Source organism: Homo sapiens, chromosome 20 (assembly GCF_000001405.40).
Source record: "Homo sapiens chromosome 20, GRCh38.p14 Primary Assembly".
In the NCBI taxonomy this organism is placed as follows: domain Eukaryota; kingdom Metazoa; phylum Chordata; class Mammalia; order Primates; family Hominidae; genus Homo; species Homo sapiens.
The window spans coordinates 2,651,758-2,669,886 of record NC_000020.11 but is presented as its reverse complement, the minus strand read 5'-3'; the positions used below and the strand labels follow the sequence as shown (position 1 = coordinate 2,669,886).

Below are 18,129 nucleotides of genomic sequence, written 5' to 3'. Positions count from 1 at the left end.
CCCAAACTAGAAACCACACTATCATCAATTTAAGAAAGGCTCAGGCCGGGCTCGGTGGCTCATGCTTGTAATTCCAGCACTTTGGGAGGCCGAGGCGGGTGGCTCACCTGAGGTCAGGAGTTTGAGACCAGCCTGGCCAACATGGTGAAACCCTGTCTCTACTAAAAATACAAAAAATTATCTGGGCGTGAGGCAAGAGAATCACTTGAACCCAGGAGGCGGAGCTTGCAGTGAGCCGATTTTGTGCCATTGCACTCCAGCCTGAGTGACAGAGTAAGACTCTGTCTCAAAAAAAAAGGCCCAATAAATTTAGTAAATTCATATTACGGAATAAAACAATGAGGCTGCTCATTCTCTAAGATATGGTGTCTTAGATCTCTAAGACATCTGAGATACAGTGTTGAGTGAAGAAGGTAAATTATAAAACAGTAAGTATATAGAGTATGAAACCATTTATTCCGACGCACACACTCATACACCAAAAACAATACTATATATTCTGTGTGTGTGTGTGTGTGTGTGTGTAAGAAAAGGGTTTTAAAGCGGACAACTAACTGATTCTGAGGTTAGGGCAAAAAGATTGGGGCTGTGAGTTGGTATGGTAAGAAAAAAATATATTTTAAAAAATATATATTTTTAAAAGAGGGTTATCTAATTAAAAGTACTAAAGCAAAATTCTATATTAAAACTAATGGAAAAAAAGAAGTGTTGCCTTTTAGGGGCTCTTTCTGGTAACTGATATCACCTCTCTCATTCTCTGCCATCTCTCATCTCCTGGTCTCTCTTGCTTATCAAGAGAAGACTATGTCACTTGGATCCCAGCTTTTCCCTGCCTCAGCTGAGGCCACTATCCTCGTTGACTCCCATGGTGACATGGATGCCTCATCAATATTGTGGGTTTGAGTCCTCATCTGCAGGGTCCTTGAGATCTCCTTGGCATCCACTCCCATTTCCTATCTGGGACTTCATTATCACCAGCATCTACTCCACCTCCAAAACCACTGGTGGAAGCAGCGTCCTCTCTTCCCATGTTACTTGCTCAACAACTCCCACAAGTACTACTCTTTGAATATTTTGGGGGGGTCTTTGATTCTTTCCTCAGCTGCCTGTTGATTAGATCTCTTCTGTCTTCACTTGCCTCCTGATCCCATTTTGCCAACACTCTCAACTCCCTTGTACCACTCTCTAGCAAAATATCACTTTTGGATGAACTCACTTTTGGTTTGCTCTCACCGTGAAATCACACACAATTGCACCACAATAAACTTCATGGTCACCAACCTCAACAGGGTGCTTAGTATTGCTCACAAAACTCTCTCTGTTTCTCTCGGACCTTGAACATGCACCAGTCCTACTTACTCACCAATCCTCACTATAACTCATCTCCTCAAATATATCTGCCCACCTCACTGTTCGTCAGCACGCTATGTTCACTGTCACCTCCGCAAGGTAGTGTCTGCCTTGGCCAGGTCCTCTTGGCAAGCTGGTGTATCCATTCCCCCAGTTGCTTCAGGTATTTGCCACTAACGGCTCAAAGCTTCCCCCTTCTCTGAAGGATTGGCCCTGGCCTATGCCATGCAGGGGCAAAGCAGGGTTGTTAAGCCTTGTCTCAAATCATGACAACCTTGAGTTGTCACTAATGCTCCAGAGCTCCCCAGGAGATGGGGCTGAGGTGGACTCTGGCTGAGGCCACATCTTGCTGAGCTCCTTCCCCTCCATATTCTGCTCATTCACCTTCTGATGTGTTTCTCCTGAGAGCACTCCTTCAACAGGTCAATTGCATAGAATCCCTGTCTTGGGCTCTGCTTCTAGGGCAGTTGATCTGAAACAGTAGCTTTGCTTACATTTCCATTTTCCCTGAGTGTAATCACTTCTCCTCTGTAATTCTGTTTATCCTTTCAATCACAGATCAAATTCTCCCAAGAAGCTTTTTCAGACGTTAATTTTCAAGGAATTGTCATTGGTTATATTACTCTTTTGATTGTTCATGGTTTCAGAAAAAGATCCAGTAGGCCTAATACACCAGAAATTCTGAAACTTTTGTGTGCAGCGGACCTCTTTGGAAGGCTGGTGAAGCCTGTGGAACCTTTCTTAGAAGAGGCTTTTAGGCCGGGTGCAGTGGCTCATGCCTGTAATCCCAGCACTTTGGGAGGCCGAGGCGGGTGGATCACGAGGTCAAGAGATCGAGACTATCCTGGCTAACACGGTGAAACCCTGTCTCTACTAAAAATACAAAAAGATTAGCTGGGCGTGGTGGCGGGCGCCTGTAGTCCCAGCTACTCCGGAGGCTGAGGCAGGAGAATGGTGTGAACCCGGGAGGTGGAGCTTGCACTCAGCTGAGATCGCCCACTGCTCTTCAGCCTGGGCAACAGAGCGACTCTGTCTCCAAAAAAAAAAAAAAAAAGAGACTTTTAAGTATATAAAATAAATAGAATTACAAGACAAATATGATTAAGACAAGCCTGGGCGACATAGCAAGACCTCATGTCTACAAAATATTTAAAAATTAGCTAGGCATGGTGGCGCATGCCTGTAGTCCCAGCTACTTGGGAGGCTGAGGTGGGAGGATCACCTGAGCCCAGGAGTTTGAGGTTACAGTGAGCCGTGATCACACCCTAGCCTGGGGAACAGACTGAAACCATCTCTCTAAAAGGAGAAAAGGAATAAAAGCTACCTTGTAACATACTACTATGTTTGCTGCTTTATTAATTCATTAAATAACACAATCTAGCATTGGGTCAAATAATGTAAAAATAGGATTAAAGTAAGTGATATTTTGAGAGATCTACTACAACTAAAATGTGGTATGAAAATATCTATACTTTTTATGATTGACAAAGTCAAGAGTACTACAGGCAGCACTGTAATCTGTGACCTGCATTCATAATGAAAGGAAATGCTAAACTTCAGTTAGAGGTTAGTGAGAATAAAGATGTGATTTTTGGTTTTTCCCCCATCCAGGTTCACAGTGCTGATTCCTATTCATGGACACCTAGGGGGTTCTGTAGATCCCAAGTCAGGACTCCTGTGCTGGAGGATTTGCAGGCCTGGGAAGCAGACATTCAAGTCACTCAGCTTCACACTGAACACTCAAGTGTAGGCAGCTCATCCATCATTATAGCCTCTTGTGCTAAGCAGAGGAGACTCCACAACAGTTAGAAGAGAACAAGATGGTATAACCTCCCTCCCATCCCCCAGGAGATAGGTTAAGAAACTTTTCAAAGGTCCTGACAGGATTTCTCCATTATCAGGCAGTATTGGTCAAAGATGCCCTCATGGGGACTTGAAGGCCAGGAGAGCTTGCTGAGTTCATGGGGAGAACACAGTGGCCTTCAGACAATAATGGTCTCATCTCCTTGGCCTGTGTCCACTGGTAACCTCCATCAGTTCCTTTCACCCTGGTGATGGCCACTTAGTGTTTTATCAGTTAGCAGATATTTTTTGAGTGTTAGGTGGGGAACAAGTCTGTGCAGAATTTAGGGATGGAAATGATGTAGTCACCCTCAAGAAAATTAGATTATTATCAGAGATTGGATTAAGATGGTACATCTCTCTTCTTTCTTATCCCACATTTCCTGACGTAACAGAAAATGTAGTTTTTTAAAAAGAGTAAATTTGGCGGGGTGCGGTGGCTCATGCCTGTAATCCCAGCACTTTGGGAGGCTGAGGGTGGCAGATCACCTGAGGTCAGGAGCTCAAGACCAGCCTGGCCAACATGGTGAAACCCTGTCTCTAATAAAAATACAAAAATTAGCCGGGTGTGGTGGCGCGTGCCTGTAATCCCAGCTACCAGGGAGGCGGAGGCAGGAAAATCGCTTGAACCCGGGAGGCAGAGGTTATAAATCTTCCATTTTTTTCTTAGTCAGAAGGAGAAATATTTGGAGAAGAAAAATAGTGACGAATATTAATAGTGATGTGGAAGCTGGGACGAGGGAGTCTATGGGAGCAAGACGGTGGTGCTCTCTGGTTTTGGTTGGTTTCATGGGATATATGAATGGAAATAGAGGAGTGTGTTATACTAATATTATATTAGCTATAATAACAGCTCTATATTTACCCAGTACTTTTCATTTGTTCAAAACTCTTACACATTACCTAGTTTAATCTTCTCATCCTACTACTATATAGGAGAATGTCGCACCTAAAGGATTGCAGAGGAGGCACAAAGCCTATGCATATTCCCCAAGAATAGAAGCACTGGGAATGCCTTTGCGTTGCCACCTTTTTGGCTGGTTGAGGTATATACGAAGGAGGAACTTATCACAGAGAACCTAGCTAGTGGTTCTTAAATTTCAGTGTGTATTAACGGGGAGCCTGTTAGAGATATATTTTCTGGGCCCCCATCACTGAGATTTGGATTCAGCAAATGAAGTATGACTCACAAGCCTGCACTTTTAACAAGAGCTCTGGTCCATCTGGATAGGTGATCCAAAACCATACTTCCAGAAGAGCGGGTGAGGCAAATCTTCCTGTACCAGTTTGTCTTTAGGTGTGTCAATTGTACACACCTAAAATCGTGACTGGAGGCCGGGCTTGGTGGCTCACGCCTGTAATCCCAGCACTTTGGGAGGCCGAGGCGGGCGGATCACGACGTCAGGAGATCGAGACCACGGTGAAACCCCGTCTCCACTAAAAATACAAAAAAAAAAAAAAAAAAAAAAAAAAATTAGCCAGGTGTGATGGCGGGCGCTACTCGGGAGGCTGAGGCAGGAGAATGGGGTGAACCCAGGAGGCGGAGCTTGCAGTGAGCCGAGATCGCACCACCGCACTCCAGCCTGGGCGACAGAGCGAGACTCTGTCTCAAAAAAAAAAAAAAAAAAATCGTGACTGTAATTGTTTTGAGACGGGTCTCGCCCCGTCTCCCAGGCTGGAGTGCAGTGGTGCCATCACGGCTCACTACGGCTTCCACCTCCCGGGCTTAAGTGATCCTCCCACCTCAGCCTCCTAAGTAGCTGGGACTACAGGTGTGTCACCACGCCTGGCTAATTTTTAAATTTTTTGTAGAGTCGAGGTCTCCCTATGTTGTCCAGGCTTTTTTTAGTTTTTATGATTGTTACTTTAAGGATCAGTCTGAAATTCCCTTTAGTCACACTTACACGCTTGAACTCATTTCTGACACTAGTTATGGGCCTGTCCTGGGGAGTTCAAGTCCGGGACACACTATTAGGGAAATAACTGTCAGAGCAAAGAACAAAACCCTGTAAGAAAAAACTACGAGGCGACGGGTAATACAGAGGTCCTGGGCACTCTCGGAGACTGGCGGAGAAACCCGACACACACCTCCCATGTCTGTACTGTATTCCTCGAGAGCCTGACATACAGGTATTCAGTGAGTACTGGTTAAAAGAATAACAAACGCATTGACACACAAATTTTAACAGCTTCCCAAGGATTTTCTCTCAATCGCTTGTTAAGCTCAGGTCCTCGTCTGATAAACATGACGCTACATTTTTCCCCCTAATGTTATTTTGAAGTTTCGACGTAGATTAAATATGGCGACTGAAAACAAAGCAAGAGACAAAGTGCTTGCGCATCCCATGACCTCCCCACCGGCAAGGAAAAGGAGAAACAGGCGTGAGCAAGCAGTGCTGGTTGGCGCAGAGAGAGAAATACCAGGAACTCAGTACAGGCCGGAAGTCGGGGTACGGGGCCGCGCCAGCTTCAGGCGTCACTTCCCACGCGACTTCCTGCGGGAAACATGGCGGCATTGAGCGGAGTCCGCTGGCTGACCCGAGTGAGGCCCCGGGACATGTCGGGCAGGGGCGGGCGAAGGAGCGGAGAGTTTGTCCTAGGGTTTCCTAAACAGGGCAAAGTCAACTGTAGTGTTCGGGGTCTGGATGTCTCAAAGCTGACCTTACAGGCTTGTGTGTCCCTGTTGCAGGCGCTGGTCTCCGCCGGGAACCCTGGGGCATGGAGAGGTCTGAGTACCTCGGCCGCGGCGCACGCTGCATCGCGGAGCCAGGTATGCACGAATCTGGCTGGGGTCTCTCTTACGACCCTGTCCCTTCCTCGCTGCTCCCTCCCCTGGCTTTTCCCCACCCCTCCCGGGTCTCCCTACTTCTCTACTCCCAGGATCCGTGCTCCCGCCCCAGCTCTATCTTTACTTCTCCCCTCTTCCCCCAATTGAGGCCGAGGACGTGAGGGTGGAGGGCTCCTTTCCCGTGACCATGCTTCCGGGAGACGGTGTGGGGCCTGAGCTGATGCACGCCGTCAAGGAGGTGTTCAAGGTGAGTGGCCTCGGGGATCAGACAGTAGAGGACAGTAGTGTGTTGGAAAGGACTTGGCCTTGACTGTGATGTTTTGGGAACCTGTCTCTGAAGGCTGCCGCTGTCCCAGTGGAGTTCCAGGAGCACCACCTGAGTGAGGTGCAGAATATGGCATCTGAGGAGAAGCTGGAGCAGGTGCTGAGTTCCATGAAGGAGAACAAAGTGGCCATCATTGGTATGTGTGCCCTCTTGCCACTTGTCCATGTGCCATTTAAAATCAAATGACCAAATGTTTATTAAGCCCTTCTCCCCACATGCTATGCAATTATATTAACTCCAGGGCAACCACCATTGGTATTTGGACATTTGTTCCTTCCCATTGGGAGCCCAGGAGTTGAGAGATCATGTCAGCTGTCTATGCAGAAAAGTTCCAGGGGTTCTGAGTCTGTCCTGAGGCTACATCAACTGTCATCAAATCTTATTCATTGCATTTCTGGAATACCACTTTTAGCTGCCCCTTTTCTTTTTTTTTTTTTCCCCTCCCTTCCTTCCTCTTTGTTTCTTCTTGCTCTGTCGCCCAGGCTGGAGTGCAGTGGCGCGATCTCGGCTCACTGCAACCTCCCCGTCCCTGGTTCAAGCAATTCTCCTGCCTCAGCCTCCTGAGTAGCTGCGACTACAGGTGTGCACCACCACACCCAGCTAATTTTTGTGTTTGTTTTGTTTTAAGACAGAGTCTCGCTCTGTCGCCCAGGCTGGAGTGCAATGTTGCCATCTCAGCTCACTGCAACCTCTGCCTCCCGGGTTCAAGTGATTCTCCTGCCTCAGCCTCCTGAGTAGCTGGCTGGTATTACAGGAGCGTGCCACCATGCCTGGCTAATTTTTGTATTTTTAGTAGAGATGGGGTTTCACCATGTTGGTCAGGCTGGTCTCGAACTCCTGACCTTGTGATCTGCCCGCCTTGGCCTCCCACAGTGCTGGGATTACAAGTGTGAGCCACCATGCCCAGGCTAATTTTTGTATTTTTAGTAGAGAGAGGGTTTTACCATGTTGGCCAGGCTGGTCTCGAACTCTTGACCTCAAGTGATCCACCCACCTCTGCATCCCAAACTGCTGCGATTATAGGCGTGAGCCACCGTGCCTAGCTGCCCCTTTTCTTTTGTCTTCCGCGCTTTAATCTCCTCATTTGATTTTTTTGGCTTCTAGTTCTGCCCCTATAGTTCATCTTCCATATCTCTTCTTGGAAAGAACAGCCTGATTTTCCAGGCCCAGCCTTACCATAGGAAAGTCAGTACTTTATAAGTTGGCCCTTAATTTTCTGCCTTGGTTCCACAACTCTTGTTCTGTGCTTCAATCACACTAGATTGTGTGTTAGATTCCAAATATGTACTACCTGACTTATATTGTTCCCTCCACCCAGAACGTTCTTTCTTTGGTGCTACCTGTTAGAGTCCTTCTCACTCATTCACTGTATTAGTTTCCCATAGCTGCCGTAACACACTACCATGAACCTGGTGGCTTATCATTAACAGAAATGTATTCTCTCACAGTGCTGGAGGCCATCAGTCTGAAATTAAGGTGTTGGCAGGGCCCTGCTCCCTCTGAAGGTTTAGGGGAGAAACCTTTCTTGCCTCTTCTGGTGGCTCTTGCTGTTTTTTGACTTGTAGATGCATCACTCCAATATCTGTGGTTTTCTTCCCTCTCTGTCTCGGTATCATTTTTCTCCTCAAATATTTAGCCCTGGATGGGACGATTTTTTCTCAAGATCCTTAACTTAATTACATCTGCAAAGCCTCTTTTCCCAAATAAGGTCACATACATAGGTTCTGGGGCTCAAGGCATGGCTGAAGTGCCAGCTCTTCTGTGCTGTATCCTGATATTACTGGAGAGGATTTCCTCTTTGTGTTGCTATGCAAGTTTCCCATGGTACTTATCATGTCTTTCATATTTTCTGTCTTTCCCAGTGTACCGTTTGCTTCTCAAGGGCAGGAGTTGTATGGTTTTAGTTGTTATCCTTATTGCCTGACATATAATTGATATTCATCAGTAGGTGTTGGGTTAAAAAATGTCAAATAAGGAGAAGGCACAGATAAAAAGATCACAGATCTGCTAGCATTGTTTTTCAACTTGTTGTTAAACCCAGGCTCTTTTTTGATAAATAGAAAAAATCTGTTCTCCGTTTTGAAGTTTCAACATAAATTAAATATGTTGACTAAAAATAAAGCATTAAGGCCGGGGCGGGTGGATCACTTGAGGTCAGGAGTTTGAGACCAGCCTGGCCAACATGGTGAGACACTGCCTCTACTAAAAATACAAAAAATTAGCCAGGTGTGGTGGCACATGCCTGTAATCCCAGCTACTGGGGAGGCTGAGGCAGGAGAATTGCTTGAACCTGGGAGGCAGAGGTTGCAGTGAGCCCAGGTCGTGCCACTGCACTCCAGCCTGGGCGACAGAGTGAGACCCTGTGTCTCTCACACACGCACACACACACACACACACACACACAGAAAATGCAATAGATGAAATGTTTCTGGCTTTAACTACATTATTCTCTTTTGTCCCTTGCCCCCAGAGACAATTTAAAAGTTTACTGATGTGGGAATGGGAGATGGGAGTCTGGGTTACATGATGTTCCTAAGGGGGTTAGACACTGGTCTGAGTTCCCTTGGGCTTGGCCTGTGGCTGACACTCCTTTTCCCACTTTGTTTTCACAGGAAAGATTCATACCCCGATGGAGTATAAGGGGGAGCTAGCCTCCTATGATATGCGGCTGAGGTAGGTGGTCTGGGTGGGGTGAATGGTTGAGAGGTGCCAGGGCACCAGGAGCAGAGCTGATGGCCCTGCCCACCCTCAGGCGTAAGTTGGACTTATTTGCCAACGTAGTCCATGTGAAGTCACTTCCTGGGTATATGACTCGGCACAACAATCTAGACCTGGTGATCATTCGAGAGCAGACAGAAGGGGAGTACAGCTCTCTGGAACATGAGGTGAGGCCCCAGAAACTGGGGGAGGGCAAGGATGAAGATGGGAGAGAGGTGGAGCTCCTTGTTTCCCTTCCCAGTGTCACCTAGCTGCTGCTTTCTTCTTACCCAGAGTGCAAGGGGTGTGATTGAGTGTTTGAAGATTGTCACACGAGCCAAGTCTCAGCGGATTGCAAAGTTCGCCTTTGACTATGCCACCAAGAAGGGGCGGGGCAAGGTCACTGCTGTCCACAAGGCCAACATCATGTGAGGGGCATGGCTTTGTGTAGGATGGGTTCCTGGGAAGGTAGCCCCTGTACTTTCTTGGCTGATTCTGTCCCCTTTGGCCCATGGACAGGAAACTTGGGGATGGGTTGTTCCTGCAGTGCTGTGAGGAAGTTGCTGAACTGTACCCCAAAATCAAATTTGAGACAATGATCATAGACAACTGCTGCATGCAGGTGAGGCCTCCCCACATCTCTACTCATGGGGCGGAGGAGGAGGGTGGGGAGTGGAATTTACTTCATGCCTGCATCTCACCCTCTAGCTGGTGCAGAATCCTTACCAGTTTGATGTGCTTGTGATGCCCAATCTCTATGGGAACATTATTGACAATCTGGCTGCTGGCCTGGTTGGGGGAGCTGGTGTGGTCCCTGGTGAGAGCTATAGTGCAGAATACGCAGTCTTTGAGACGGTGAGGCTGCTTTCTCCCTCGGCCCTTCCTCTGACCTCAAGTCCGCCATTCCTCTCCCATCCCAATATCTCCACTTCCTAAGTGATCTTGGCCTGTTCTTCCCCCACGCTGCCCACCATGCCTCTTTTCAGTGACCCTGGCCTGAGCTCCCCCTCCCATAATGTCCTTTTCCAACCTAAGCCTCTGCATACCCCTCCTGCCTCCTCCCAGTGTCTAGCCTGCCCCTCTCTCCACAGGGTGCCCGGCACCCATTTGCCCAGGCAGTGGGCAGGAATATAGCCAATCCCACGGCCATGCTGCTGTCGGCTTCCAACATGCTGCGGCATCTTAAGTAGGTCATGGGAGGCTGTCGGCAGAGGTTGGGTGTCGTGAGGAGGAGCAGGTGGGGAAATTAGCGGGAGGTGTCTTGGGGGAGTCACAGTTTCTTCCTGTCCATATCCACAGTCTTGAGTATCACTCCAGCATGATCGCAGATGCGGTGAAGAAGGTGATCAAAGTTGGCAAGGTGAGTTGAGAAGAGTAGTGCTGGCTTCAGGATTTAGAGTAGTTCTGGTGTCAGCACCTCGGCACTACCCTCTGGGGAACCTGAATGGGGGTCTCCTTTCCCCCCAGGTCCCCAGAACATCTGCTCCCTGACATCCCTGCATCCCTCTCAGGGCTGTTCTTCATCTCCCTTCTCTTGGCTGTTTCATCCTCTTGATCTCTTTTGCCTCTTAGATCCCATCTGCTGTTCCCTCTTTCCTGCTCCATCCACTGCCCTTTTCATGGGCCATCTGAATGCAGAACTTGCAGCTCTCCTTGGGGGTGGAACAGCAAGGGATACAGGCAGGCTGAAGCATCAGCTTCACCTTCACGCCCCATCTCCTTTTCGCTGTGATTCTTTCCTTCCACCTGGTCTTGTCTCTATTTCTTCCAAGGAAGGTAGCCACATCCTGCCTCTGATCTGCGTTTCCCATCATCTTTGCCTGCTCAGCCTCCTGTCCTGCCCTGGCTGCAGCACAGCTAATAGTGGCTTAAGAGGAGTGGCAGGTCCATGTGCTTCCCATCCTGGCTCCTCCTTCCATTCCTGTGCATTGCCTTTTTTCTGGCTGTCACGCATTCTTGGCTTCCATTTCCTCAATCACATTGCCCTACCTCCCTTCATGGGCTCTCTTTTCTCCCTCCCCACGGCTGTTGCCGGTGGTGGCTGTAGGTGCGGACTCGAGACATGGGCGGCTACAGCACCACAACCGACTTCATCAAGTCTGTCATCGGTCACCTGCAGACTAAAGGGAGCTAGAGCCCTTTATTTCTTCCAACCTTGCAAGGACCACACTCCCCATACCCTTCAGTGCAGTGTACCAGGGAAGAGACCTTGTGCCTCTAAGCAGTGGACCATGGTCACCTTGCTGGGTAGAGCCTAGGTTGTCCTTGGGCCGGCTTCCTTAGGGGACAGACTGTTGGGTGGTGATGGGGATTGTTAGGATGGAGCCCAGGCCACATGGATGATGATGATTCTCCCCCACAGGTTCGAACCTCTGACATGGGTGGCTATGCTACTTGCCATGACTTCACTGAGGCTGTCATTGCTGCCTTGCCCCACCCATAGGCCCTGTCCATACCCATGTAAGGTGTTCAATAAAGAACATGAACCAACTCTTGTGAATTTGTTTTTATTGGGGAACACGGCACAGGGTGGGAAATGTCACCTTGGGCTATGGTATGCCCCACCTCCCAGAGAATGTCCATTTGCATTCTAATCTTCCTGGGATGCTTTATGGAACTTTTTCTTCTTCTTGGAGCTGCTCTTGCCAACCGCCTCTTCAGGCCCACTGCTGACCGGCTCCTCTTTGGAGAATTTCCTCTTTTTCTTGGAGCCACTTCTGTGGCCTGCCTCCTCAGGGTCATTAACTGTTTCCTCCTTGGGTGTAGACTTCTTCCTCTTGGGAATACTGGTGCTGCCAGCGGTCTCTTCAAGATCGCTACTCATCAACTCCTCCTTGGAAAAAGATTTCTTTTTCTTGGGTTTGGAGAAAGAGATAGATGGGTCTTCCATTCCATTCTCCTGAGGAACCTCCTGGGGCTTTTGCTTTTTCTTCTTTTTGGGTTTTTCACTCATCTCCTAAAGGGAAGGACAGGGGAACAGGCTGTGAGAACAGTGCTCATTACATCTTCAGCAATTAAGTAGCCAAGGCAGGGGAACGCGTGTCGTTAACATTGCCCAGTGTTTCTGGGATAGTTTAATTGTGTGGGTATAACTTTAGAAATCCACCCCAAAGGCTGTCCCAAATTAGAAGGAAAACATGTCATGAGAAATTACCTCAGCCCATTAAAAAAAAAAACCTAAAAAACACCCACCATGCTGGTCGCAACAGAACCATCATGCCAAGTTCCAGACAGGGCCCTGAAACACTGTTTAAGAAACTGGGTGCTAAATGAAAATCTCAGGGAGAATGATTGTAGCTTAGCACATTGGGGACCTCCCTGCCCCCATCCCCACTGTGAAACACGACCACCTCCGGACACACGTCTGATAATAAGCAGAGCAGGAATTTACACTACCCCAGGTTGAGGACTCCTGGGAGGCAGCCGAGGACAGAACACACATGCCCAGGGAACGGGTGTGAGCTACAACCAGCTCTCTGGGCTCTTGAGCAAGTTCAGCACCTATCTCCTTCCTATAGAATCAAGAGGTAGTTTTAGATGTTTCAGGTCCTTGTTTCAGTCCAAAAGCCTGGACTCAAGACCACAGCTTGATGCAGCATATCCTTTGTTCTGCTGTTGAAAATCCTACAACCTAGGATCTCTGCCAGGGCCGTGCTGCCTACTGACCTCACACTCCTCTGGAGTACTACTGCTGTTTTCTGAAGACGCGAGGGCAAGTGCAGCCAGCCGTTTCTTTTCCTTCTTTAAGCGTTTCTTCTCCTGTTTCTCCAGCTTCCTAGTAATCTCAGCAGCCGCTTCCTCTGCCTGGTCAAAGAAAAGTGCTAAAAGGGCCTGAAGACTTCTGGTGCTCTGAGGACTCCTTTCTGGCTTTATTGGATCAGGCTCATTAAATCAGTTTTTTTGCCTCCATTCTACAAGGTCAGGCTCAGACAGTTCATCACCTCCAACAGCTAGCTATGCCACTCCACACCCAGCAAAGCCCAACTGACCTGAACCATTGCTTCCTTCATGACATCCAGATTCTTTCGTGGTATCTCTCCAGTCTCATAGAAGGACAGTCGCTCTTCAACTTGTTCTCGAAGCTTCTCCCCGAATACACTCGTGGGCACCTCTGGATGTGTGTGGGTGACAAAGCCTGTCAGCCCAAAGAGAGAAACTACCCCAACCCTGTGTTCCCTCTACCCTCAGCTTCACTCAGACCCAGAGTCTCAACACTCACTAGGTGAACTGCTGTTGACGAAAAATATTGCCATCATTGTGGAAGCTATGGTTGCAAGCCTCCCCACCCAGCCACCCAGCCCCTTCTCACACCTGCCAACGCCCCCCCACCCATACCAGAGAAGCAATCGATTCGTGAGGCAATACTGCATTTGTTTGCCAGGTATCGGGAGATGCGGCCTTTGTTCTTGGCAGCTGCTCGGCCAATGAAGGTGGAGTGGAAAATGAGTCCATATTTTGGAGTGTTACCCCTTGTCTTCAGGGCTCTGAGAGAATATTCAGTGGAGAGTTTAAGATCAGAAATTTCAACCCCATTAGCCAAGGCAGCTCAGCTCCTCCCCTCCTCTCACCCCGAAGTCCTGAGTGAGCCTCAGGCCAGATTGGATCTCTACCCCAATGCATGCCAACCCATAGCTCCCAGAGGCAGAGGGAAGGCATCCAATGTCGCTGACCTGGAAACTTGGTCCCTTTGCTGGGCCCTGGGAATCACTCAGACACCAGGACTGGCCATCACCCCCATAGCAGAGGCCTGTATAGGTCAGGGAGCCCTGGTCAGCCATCACCGTGATCCCCCAACAAGCAGTGGGCACCAGAAGTGGCACCTGATTGTGGGCAGGTGCCCTCACTGGTACCTGAACAGGGCCTTTTCAGCCCCAAGGATCTGCACTGTGGATGCTGGATACTTGGCCAGGTTGGTGAGGCTGCCAGCATGTGCGATGAGACGTGCACCTACCTGGAGAGAGAGTCAAGGAAGCAGTCAGAGAAATGAACTGCTGACCTGCCCAGTTGCACGACAGCCCTGCTCCCCACCTCCCCATCAAGCACAACTAGGGAAGACATGGTGGGTCACGAAATACAGCAGTGCAGGTGCACATGGCAACAGTCCTTATTCTCCCATTTTTGAGTCCCCTGTGACGCACCGCTTCCCCAATTAGGGCTGACAGGCTGGGGGCTACTTGGCTCATCTTGGAGCGCAGGTAAGTGTGTAGGCTCTGGCGGTATTCAGATAAAGACACCACACGACTGGAGAAGCTCTCGATGTTTATCAAGTCAATGGCAGATATGTCCATGCCTAGGAAAAACCAAGTGTGAATGCAAGAGGCCAGCTATTTAGAGCCCCATACCTTATGCAGGTTGCCAGGCTCTGCACTGACCCATGGAGGACCGTGAGGCATCCAGAATAGCCTTAGCCTTGGCCCCATCCATTGTCAGCTCCTCCAGCTTCTCCAGCTTGTCCTCATTCAGTTCCCTTCGGTTTCCAATAAACTGGGCAAGACGGCAGTATGTGGCATTGTCGTTGATGATCTTCACCAGCTCCGGAAAGTGATACCCGTACCACTCCCTGCAAAGAGCCACAGTCACTCCCTGGCCCAGCTGCTTCATCAAAAACCATAGAGCTACAGCCTTGCCTTCTCCACACCTACTCTGCCTGGAGGAAATGGGACAAAGATCCAAATCTTCCTCAATTCTATGTTCCCCCATTCACAATACAGACCAGGCACAGGGCCTGAGCTGAGGTGTATATGGGGTAGGTTTACTCTACCTCCTCTTTCTATACAGTCAGTGTAAGAACACAGCCTGTGGTAAGCACCAGGAGGCCTACACCCAGCCCCAGCCCACATGGTTCTACCCACAGGATGGTCAGTCCTCATCAAGACTCAAAATTAACTGAACTACAGACCAAAGGCTCCAGTATTATGGGTGGCCCCTGCACTTTACCTGACACGCATAGAGAAGGTATTGATGTCCTTATCCAGCTGGTCCAGGAGGCTAATGGACTGGATGATCATATTGTCCACCCGGTTCACATTAAACTTAACTTTGGCACGGGAATAGCTGTGTCCCAGCCCCAGCTGTGCTTTACAAGCTGACAGATCGGTCAGACCCTTCACCAGATTGTGGAAGTGCAGACGAACTCCTAAGAAGAGGGCAAGACGGTGAGCAACAAGGGGCTCTGAGCTAGCTCCCGCACCCACGGGCACCAGCCCAGCCTGAAGGCCTTCCCAGAAATCACAACAAGCAACCAAGTTTCCAGAACCTCCTCCCCCAAAATGTCCAGGATAACAGGAATATAACAGATGATGGTCTCACCTCGCAGGATCTCAGCTATGACTCCTCCAGTCTGGCAGTTGTACCCTAACTCCTCCTGTATTGCGGCACCAATCTTGGGATCCCCAACTCCCAAGAGTACTTTCTTCTTTTTGGACGGCAGGTGGGTCTCCAAGAGCAGGCGGAGGTCCTCATGAACAACCCCTCAGGGGAAAGAACACAGTTCCCACTAACAGGCTGAAGGACGATCAACTCTAACATCCCTCAGCTGACTACCCTGGTCCCACCGAGCACGCTGGGATGGCATACCTAGATCCCTCCCCATCAGGCATTGCTCAGAGACATGGAGACATCAGTGATTGCACTCAGGGGATTGACAGATTTGATTCGCAAGTCATCACTGCAAAGCCTGGCCCAGCCATGGGAACAACTGCATTCAGGTCTGATAGCACAAGTGGGCAATAAATAATAGCTTGTAACACACCCTCGAGTATTTCGTAGAATTTGCCTTCTGGAACCAAACCTTTTTTTCTCAGCCTGTGTTTACCCAACTGCCCTTTCCAATCGAACAGAAAGCAGAGAACCAGACACTTGATTGTGTTTAGGCAAAACCTCAGGCACAAGTAGGTGTTAAGCCGACCCCCTTTAAGAAACCCCCCTTTGTCGGCCGGGCACCGTCGCTCGCGCCTGCAACCTCAGCACCTTGGGAGGTCGAGGCGGGCGGATCACGAGGTCAGGAGATGGAGACTAGCCTGGCCAACATGGTGAAACCCCGTCTCTACCAAAAATACAAAATTAGCCGGGTGTGGTGGCTGGCACAGGCCTGTAATCCCAGTTACTCGGGAGGCTGAGGCAGGAGAATCGCCTGAACCAGGGAGGCAGAGGTTGCAGTGAGCCCAGATCTTGCCACTGCACTCCAGCCTGGGGGACAGACTCCATCTCAAAAAAAATAAAAATAAAAAATAGTTTGTCACTACAGTGCCCACAAGGAAACGTTAACACACATTCCACATCGTCTGCTTAAACAGTTTGGTCTAGCACAGTTCCCAGACCTTGAGCTCTGTGAAGACAATTATTTCAAATTACACATTGTATGGCTCAAATACTGCCTCACGCCTATCAGACTCAGAGCCAGCCAAGGACGGCAAATACTATCACAAGCTGCCCGAGAGGATACCGAAAGGAACCACATCTCTCTGTGACACTTGGCGGTGGCCGACTTACCTTCAGACACGGCGTTGGCATTTTCCAAGGCAACCTGGGATGAGGCAAAGGGACAAAAGGCCACCAGACGAACGATGCTGTGGAATTTGCCCAGGTTGAGCACAGACTCCTCCACCTGGGGGGAGAAAGAGGCTAAGTGGTTTCCTTCCCTCCCTCCTGCCTCTGCGGCGCAGTCAAGCAGCGGTTCTCAGCCTTGGAAGCTCTTAAAATATGCTGATACCTGGGCCCCACATCCCAGCTTCTGCTTTAATCGTTCGGGGGCGGCGTCCGGGAGGCTTATTTCTAATTGCTAGAGCGATTCTACCCATGGGTCAAGGTAAAGACCCCCGGATCTAGAGCTTTCCAGGCCCGTCCCCCCGCCCCGAACCGCTCGGCCGGCCACGTGGGAGCGCGCTGTGCATGCTGGGACCCGCGCGATGAGGGTCTGCGGGGCCGCCAAAGGAGCCCACGGATCTCACCCACCTGCGGCTGCAGCAGACTGATCTCCTCCACTTCCTTCAGCGCCAGCAGCGCGTAGCCGACCGCGTGCTCAAACAGCACGTGCAACAGCACCTGGAACGGGAGCCGGGGCGCGAGCGTCAACGCAACCTCAGCGTCTGCCGGAACCCGTTCCCAGGGCAGGCGCAGGCGCAGGCGCAGGCCCAGGCCCAGGCCCAGGCCCTGTCTGCGGCCCGAACGCAGGCCGAAACCCCCACCGTCGCGTCGCCCGCGCCCCGCAACCACTCCTCACCATGGCGCCAGCTCCCGGGTTCGGCTCGCAATGCGGCTAGCGCGCTCCGGCGCGCGGAACCAGGCTCCAGAGGCCACGCCCCCGCCCCCCCGACCAATCGGAGGCCGGGGACGACACCATCTCCGGCCTTTGGAGGGGCCGCCCAGGGTGGTATCGCCCGGAGCGCGGGCTGGGTGGTGCCGAGCGCGGGCGAGCGGGCCTTTTCCGGCCTCTGCAGCTGCGCGGGCGGGCGTGGTTGCCGGGGACGCGCGGCCCCCGGTCGGGCACTGCAGGCGGCGAAACGACTTGGGAAGGCCCTTTCGGGGTAATAGTCCGGTTCCTGATGTTCTTGTCATATGAGTTACGGGCAGCAGAGCTGGGTGAAGTCGGGGCGGGAGGTCCGCGTGGGGCGCGGCGTCCATCCCAGACAGAGACCGCTGCCTAGCCGGCTTCCCGCTTCGTCCGTGGCCTCGGGCCCCAGACCCTGCGCCCCACGTCCCCGGGACCCAGGCGTTCCCGTCCCCTACTCGGGGACGAGCCTCCCCGGCGCCGGGTGGGCGGTGCATCCTTTCCTCCCACCCGTAACGGGAGCGGTGCCTGGCGCGCTCTGGCGCAGACCCTGCTGGGAATGTAGCTCGCGCAGTTTTCTTCGTACTATTAATTTATTTCTTTTTTTTGTTTTTGGTTTTTTTTTTTTAAATGACTGTAGCAGGCAGTAACGTGCGAAAGAAAGACGCTCCAGCGTCTTCCTAGGCCAGTTTCTTGTTGCTGTGCTGCACGGGACCCAGCTCCTTTTGCTGGGCCACGTGTTGCTCCTCCGCTTGGGCGGCCCTGAATTCTGGGCGCTGGTGATCGCTGAGTGAATCGCAGCTGCTTCCCTGTCCTTGAGGGCGTCTTTTGGGCACTCAGGCGACTCTTTAGAAATGA

The 18,129-nt window shown here is 50.5% G+C and overlaps 2 protein-coding genes, 2 long non-coding RNA genes and 6 other non-coding genes across 17 annotated transcripts in view, besides 8 other annotated features; 2 read left to right on the top strand and 8 right to left on the bottom strand.

The window, feature by feature from the left end:
• Nucleotides 1-433: 433 nt before the first annotated feature.
• On the bottom strand, nt 434-5,613 carry IDH3B-DT (IDH3B divergent transcript). The gene is made up of 3 exons (NR_186432.1): nt 5,281-5,613; nt 4,383-4,629; nt 434-2,379 (listed from the first exon to the last, which is right to left on the bottom strand). It is a non-coding gene; the product is annotated as an IDH3B divergent transcript (long non-coding RNA).
• Nucleotides 4,248-5,033: an enhancer, noted in NCBI's record as "H3K27ac-H3K4me1 hESC enhancer chr20:2645500-2646285 (GRCh37/hg19 assembly coordinates)". NCBI's record gives its function as "activates a minimal SCP1, AML or CMV promoter by ChIP-STARR-seq in naive H9 embryonic stem cells {active_cell/tissue: H9 hESC(naive)}" and the evidence as "EXISTENCE:reporter gene assay evidence [ECO:0000049][PMID:30033119]".
• Nucleotides 5,671-11,492, top strand: IDH3B (isocitrate dehydrogenase (NAD(+)) 3 non-catalytic subunit beta). 6 transcript variants are annotated; one of them, NR_136344.2, is made up of 13 exons: nt 5,671-5,734; nt 5,882-5,962; nt 6,129-6,227; nt 6,321-6,441; nt 8,918-8,978; nt 9,058-9,190; nt 9,297-9,430; nt 9,522-9,624; nt 9,711-9,857; nt 10,094-10,188; nt 10,302-10,362; nt 11,050-11,249; nt 11,365-11,492. NR_136344.2 is itself a non-coding variant. In NM_001330763.2 (13 exons), the coding sequence occupies exons 1-13, from the start codon at nt 5,699-5,701 to the stop codon at nt 11,376-11,378; spliced, it is 1,164 nt and encodes a 387-aa protein (NP_001317692.1). In that variant the 5' UTR covers nt 5,671-5,698; the 3' UTR covers nt 11,379-11,492. The 6 variants fall into 6 exon arrangements, 4 of the variants coding, with proteins under 4 accessions (NP_001317692.1, NP_777280.1, NP_008830.2 ...); NM_001330763.2 differs by having other exon boundaries at nt 11,050-11,128; XR_001754265.1 differs by having other exon boundaries at nt 9,711-9,819; nt 11,050-11,492.
• Nucleotides 6,607-7,394: an enhancer, noted in NCBI's record as "H3K4me1 hESC enhancer chr20:2643139-2643926 (GRCh37/hg19 assembly coordinates)". NCBI's record gives its function as "activates a minimal SCP1, AML or CMV promoter by ChIP-STARR-seq in naive H9 embryonic stem cells {active_cell/tissue: H9 hESC(naive)}" and the evidence as "EXISTENCE:reporter gene assay evidence [ECO:0000049][PMID:30033119]".
• Nucleotides 11,337-11,537: a silencer, noted in NCBI's record as "peak4124 fragment used in MPRA reporter construct". NCBI's record gives its function as "represses an SCP1 promoter by STARR-seq MPRAs in K562 erythroleukemia cells {active_cell/tissue: K562}" and the evidence as "EXISTENCE:reporter gene assay evidence [ECO:0000049][PMID:32103011]".
• On the bottom strand, nt 11,494-17,255 carry NOP56 (NOP56 ribonucleoprotein). 3 transcript variants are annotated; one of them, NR_145428.2, is made up of 13 exons: nt 17,224-17,255; nt 16,956-17,045; nt 16,494-16,608; nt 15,312-15,473; nt 14,940-15,138; nt 14,375-14,562; nt 14,141-14,292; nt 13,853-13,953; nt 13,338-13,486; nt 12,992-13,113; nt 12,669-12,806; nt 12,399-12,514; nt 11,494-11,958 (listed from the first exon to the last, which is right to left on the bottom strand). NR_145428.2 is itself a non-coding variant. In NM_006392.4 (12 exons), the coding sequence occupies exons 1-12, from the start codon at nt 17,224-17,226 to the stop codon at nt 11,593-11,595; spliced, it is 1,785 nt and encodes a 594-aa protein (NP_006383.2). In that variant the 5' UTR covers nt 17,227-17,255; the 3' UTR covers nt 11,494-11,592. The 3 variants fall into 3 exon arrangements, 1 of the variants encoding a protein (NP_006383.2); NR_027700.3 differs by lacking the exon at nt 12,399-12,514 and having other exon boundaries at nt 13,673-13,953; NM_006392.4 differs by lacking the exon at nt 12,399-12,514.
• Nucleotides 12,877-12,948, bottom strand: SNORD57 (small nucleolar RNA, C/D box 57). The gene has a single exon (NR_002738.1). It is a non-coding gene; the product is annotated as a small nucleolar RNA, C/D box 57 (small nucleolar RNA).
• Nucleotides 13,193-13,263, bottom strand: SNORD56 (small nucleolar RNA, C/D box 56). The gene has a single exon (NR_002739.1). It is a non-coding gene; the product is annotated as a small nucleolar RNA, C/D box 56 (small nucleolar RNA).
• On the bottom strand, nt 13,705-13,790 carry SNORD86 (small nucleolar RNA, C/D box 86). The gene has a single exon (NR_004399.1). It is a non-coding gene; the product is annotated as a small nucleolar RNA, C/D box 86 (small nucleolar RNA).
• Nucleotides 13,910-14,427: an enhancer, noted in NCBI's record as "H3K4me1 hESC enhancer chr20:2636106-2636623 (GRCh37/hg19 assembly coordinates)". NCBI's record gives its function as "activates a minimal SCP1, AML or CMV promoter by ChIP-STARR-seq in naive H9 embryonic stem cells {active_cell/tissue: H9 hESC(naive)}" and the evidence as "EXISTENCE:reporter gene assay evidence [ECO:0000049][PMID:30033119]".
• Nucleotides 14,689-14,820, bottom strand: SNORA51 (small nucleolar RNA, H/ACA box 51). The gene has a single exon (NR_002981.1). It is a non-coding gene; the product is annotated as a small nucleolar RNA, H/ACA box 51 (small nucleolar RNA).
• Nucleotides 15,601-15,675, bottom strand: SNORD110 (small nucleolar RNA, C/D box 110). The gene has a single exon (NR_003078.1). It is a non-coding gene; the product is annotated as a small nucleolar RNA, C/D box 110 (small nucleolar RNA).
• Nucleotides 16,542-16,631: an enhancer, noted in NCBI's record as "active region_17470". NCBI's record gives its function as "activates an Ori minimal core promoter by ATAC-STARR-seq in GM12878 lymphoblastoid cells {active_cell/tissue: GM12878}" and the evidence as "EXISTENCE:reporter gene assay evidence [ECO:0000049][PMID:35858748]".
• On the bottom strand, nt 17,045-17,110 carry MIR1292 (microRNA 1292). Its single transcript, NR_031699.1, has one exon. It is a non-coding gene; the product is annotated as a microRNA 1292 (primary transcript).
• Nucleotides 17,112-17,154: a tandem repeat, named in NCBI's record as "NOP56 ribonucleoprotein repeat instability region".
• Nucleotides 17,130-17,153: a repeat instability region, noted in NCBI's record as "repeat instability region; expansion of the (GGCCTG)n hexanucleotide repeat is associated with spinocerebellar ataxia type 36 (SCA36)". NCBI's record gives the evidence for it as "EXISTENCE:polymerase chain reaction evidence [ECO:0000082][PMID:21683323, PMID:25476002]" and "EXISTENCE:Southern hybridization evidence [ECO:0000078][PMID:25476002, PMID:22492559]".
• Nucleotides 17,132-17,771: a silencer, noted in NCBI's record as "silent region_12604". NCBI's record gives its function as "represses an Ori minimal core promoter by ATAC-STARR-seq in GM12878 lymphoblastoid cells {active_cell/tissue: GM12878}" and the evidence as "EXISTENCE:reporter gene assay evidence [ECO:0000049][PMID:35858748]".
• LOC105372505 (uncharacterized) overlaps nt 17,423-18,129 on the top strand; it is a 38,419-nt gene continuing 37,712 nt past the window's right edge. The window contains exon 1 of the long non-coding RNA XR_007067502.1: nt 17,423-17,527. This is a non-coding gene — a long non-coding RNA (uncharacterized LOC105372505). The remainder of the gene's footprint in view (nt 17,528-18,129) is intronic.

Excerpts from the sequence above, each read along its gene's own strand:
- IDH3B (NM_001330763.2), top strand. The coding sequence starts at position 5,699 with ATGGCGGCATTGAGCGGAGTCCGCTGGCTGACCCGA. Across the intron at positions 5,963-6,128 it reads ACGCTGCATCGCGGAGCCAG|GCCGAGGACGTGAGGGTGGA; the intron begins GTATGCACGAAT and ends CCCCCAATTGAG. Across the intron at positions 9,858-10,093 it reads AATACGCAGTCTTTGAGACG|GGTGCCCGGCACCCATTTGC; the intron begins GTGAGGCTGCTT and ends CTCTCTCCACAG.
- NOP56 (NM_006392.4), bottom strand. Across the intron at positions 16,609-16,955 it reads TCAGTCTGCTGCAGCCGCAG|GTGGAGGAGTCTGTGCTCAA; the intron begins GTGGGTGAGATC and ends TTCTCCCCCCAG. Across the intron at positions 15,139-15,311 it reads CATAGCTGAGATCCTGCGAG|GAGTTCGTCTGCACTTCCAC; the intron begins GTGAGACCATCA and ends CCCTCTTCTTAG.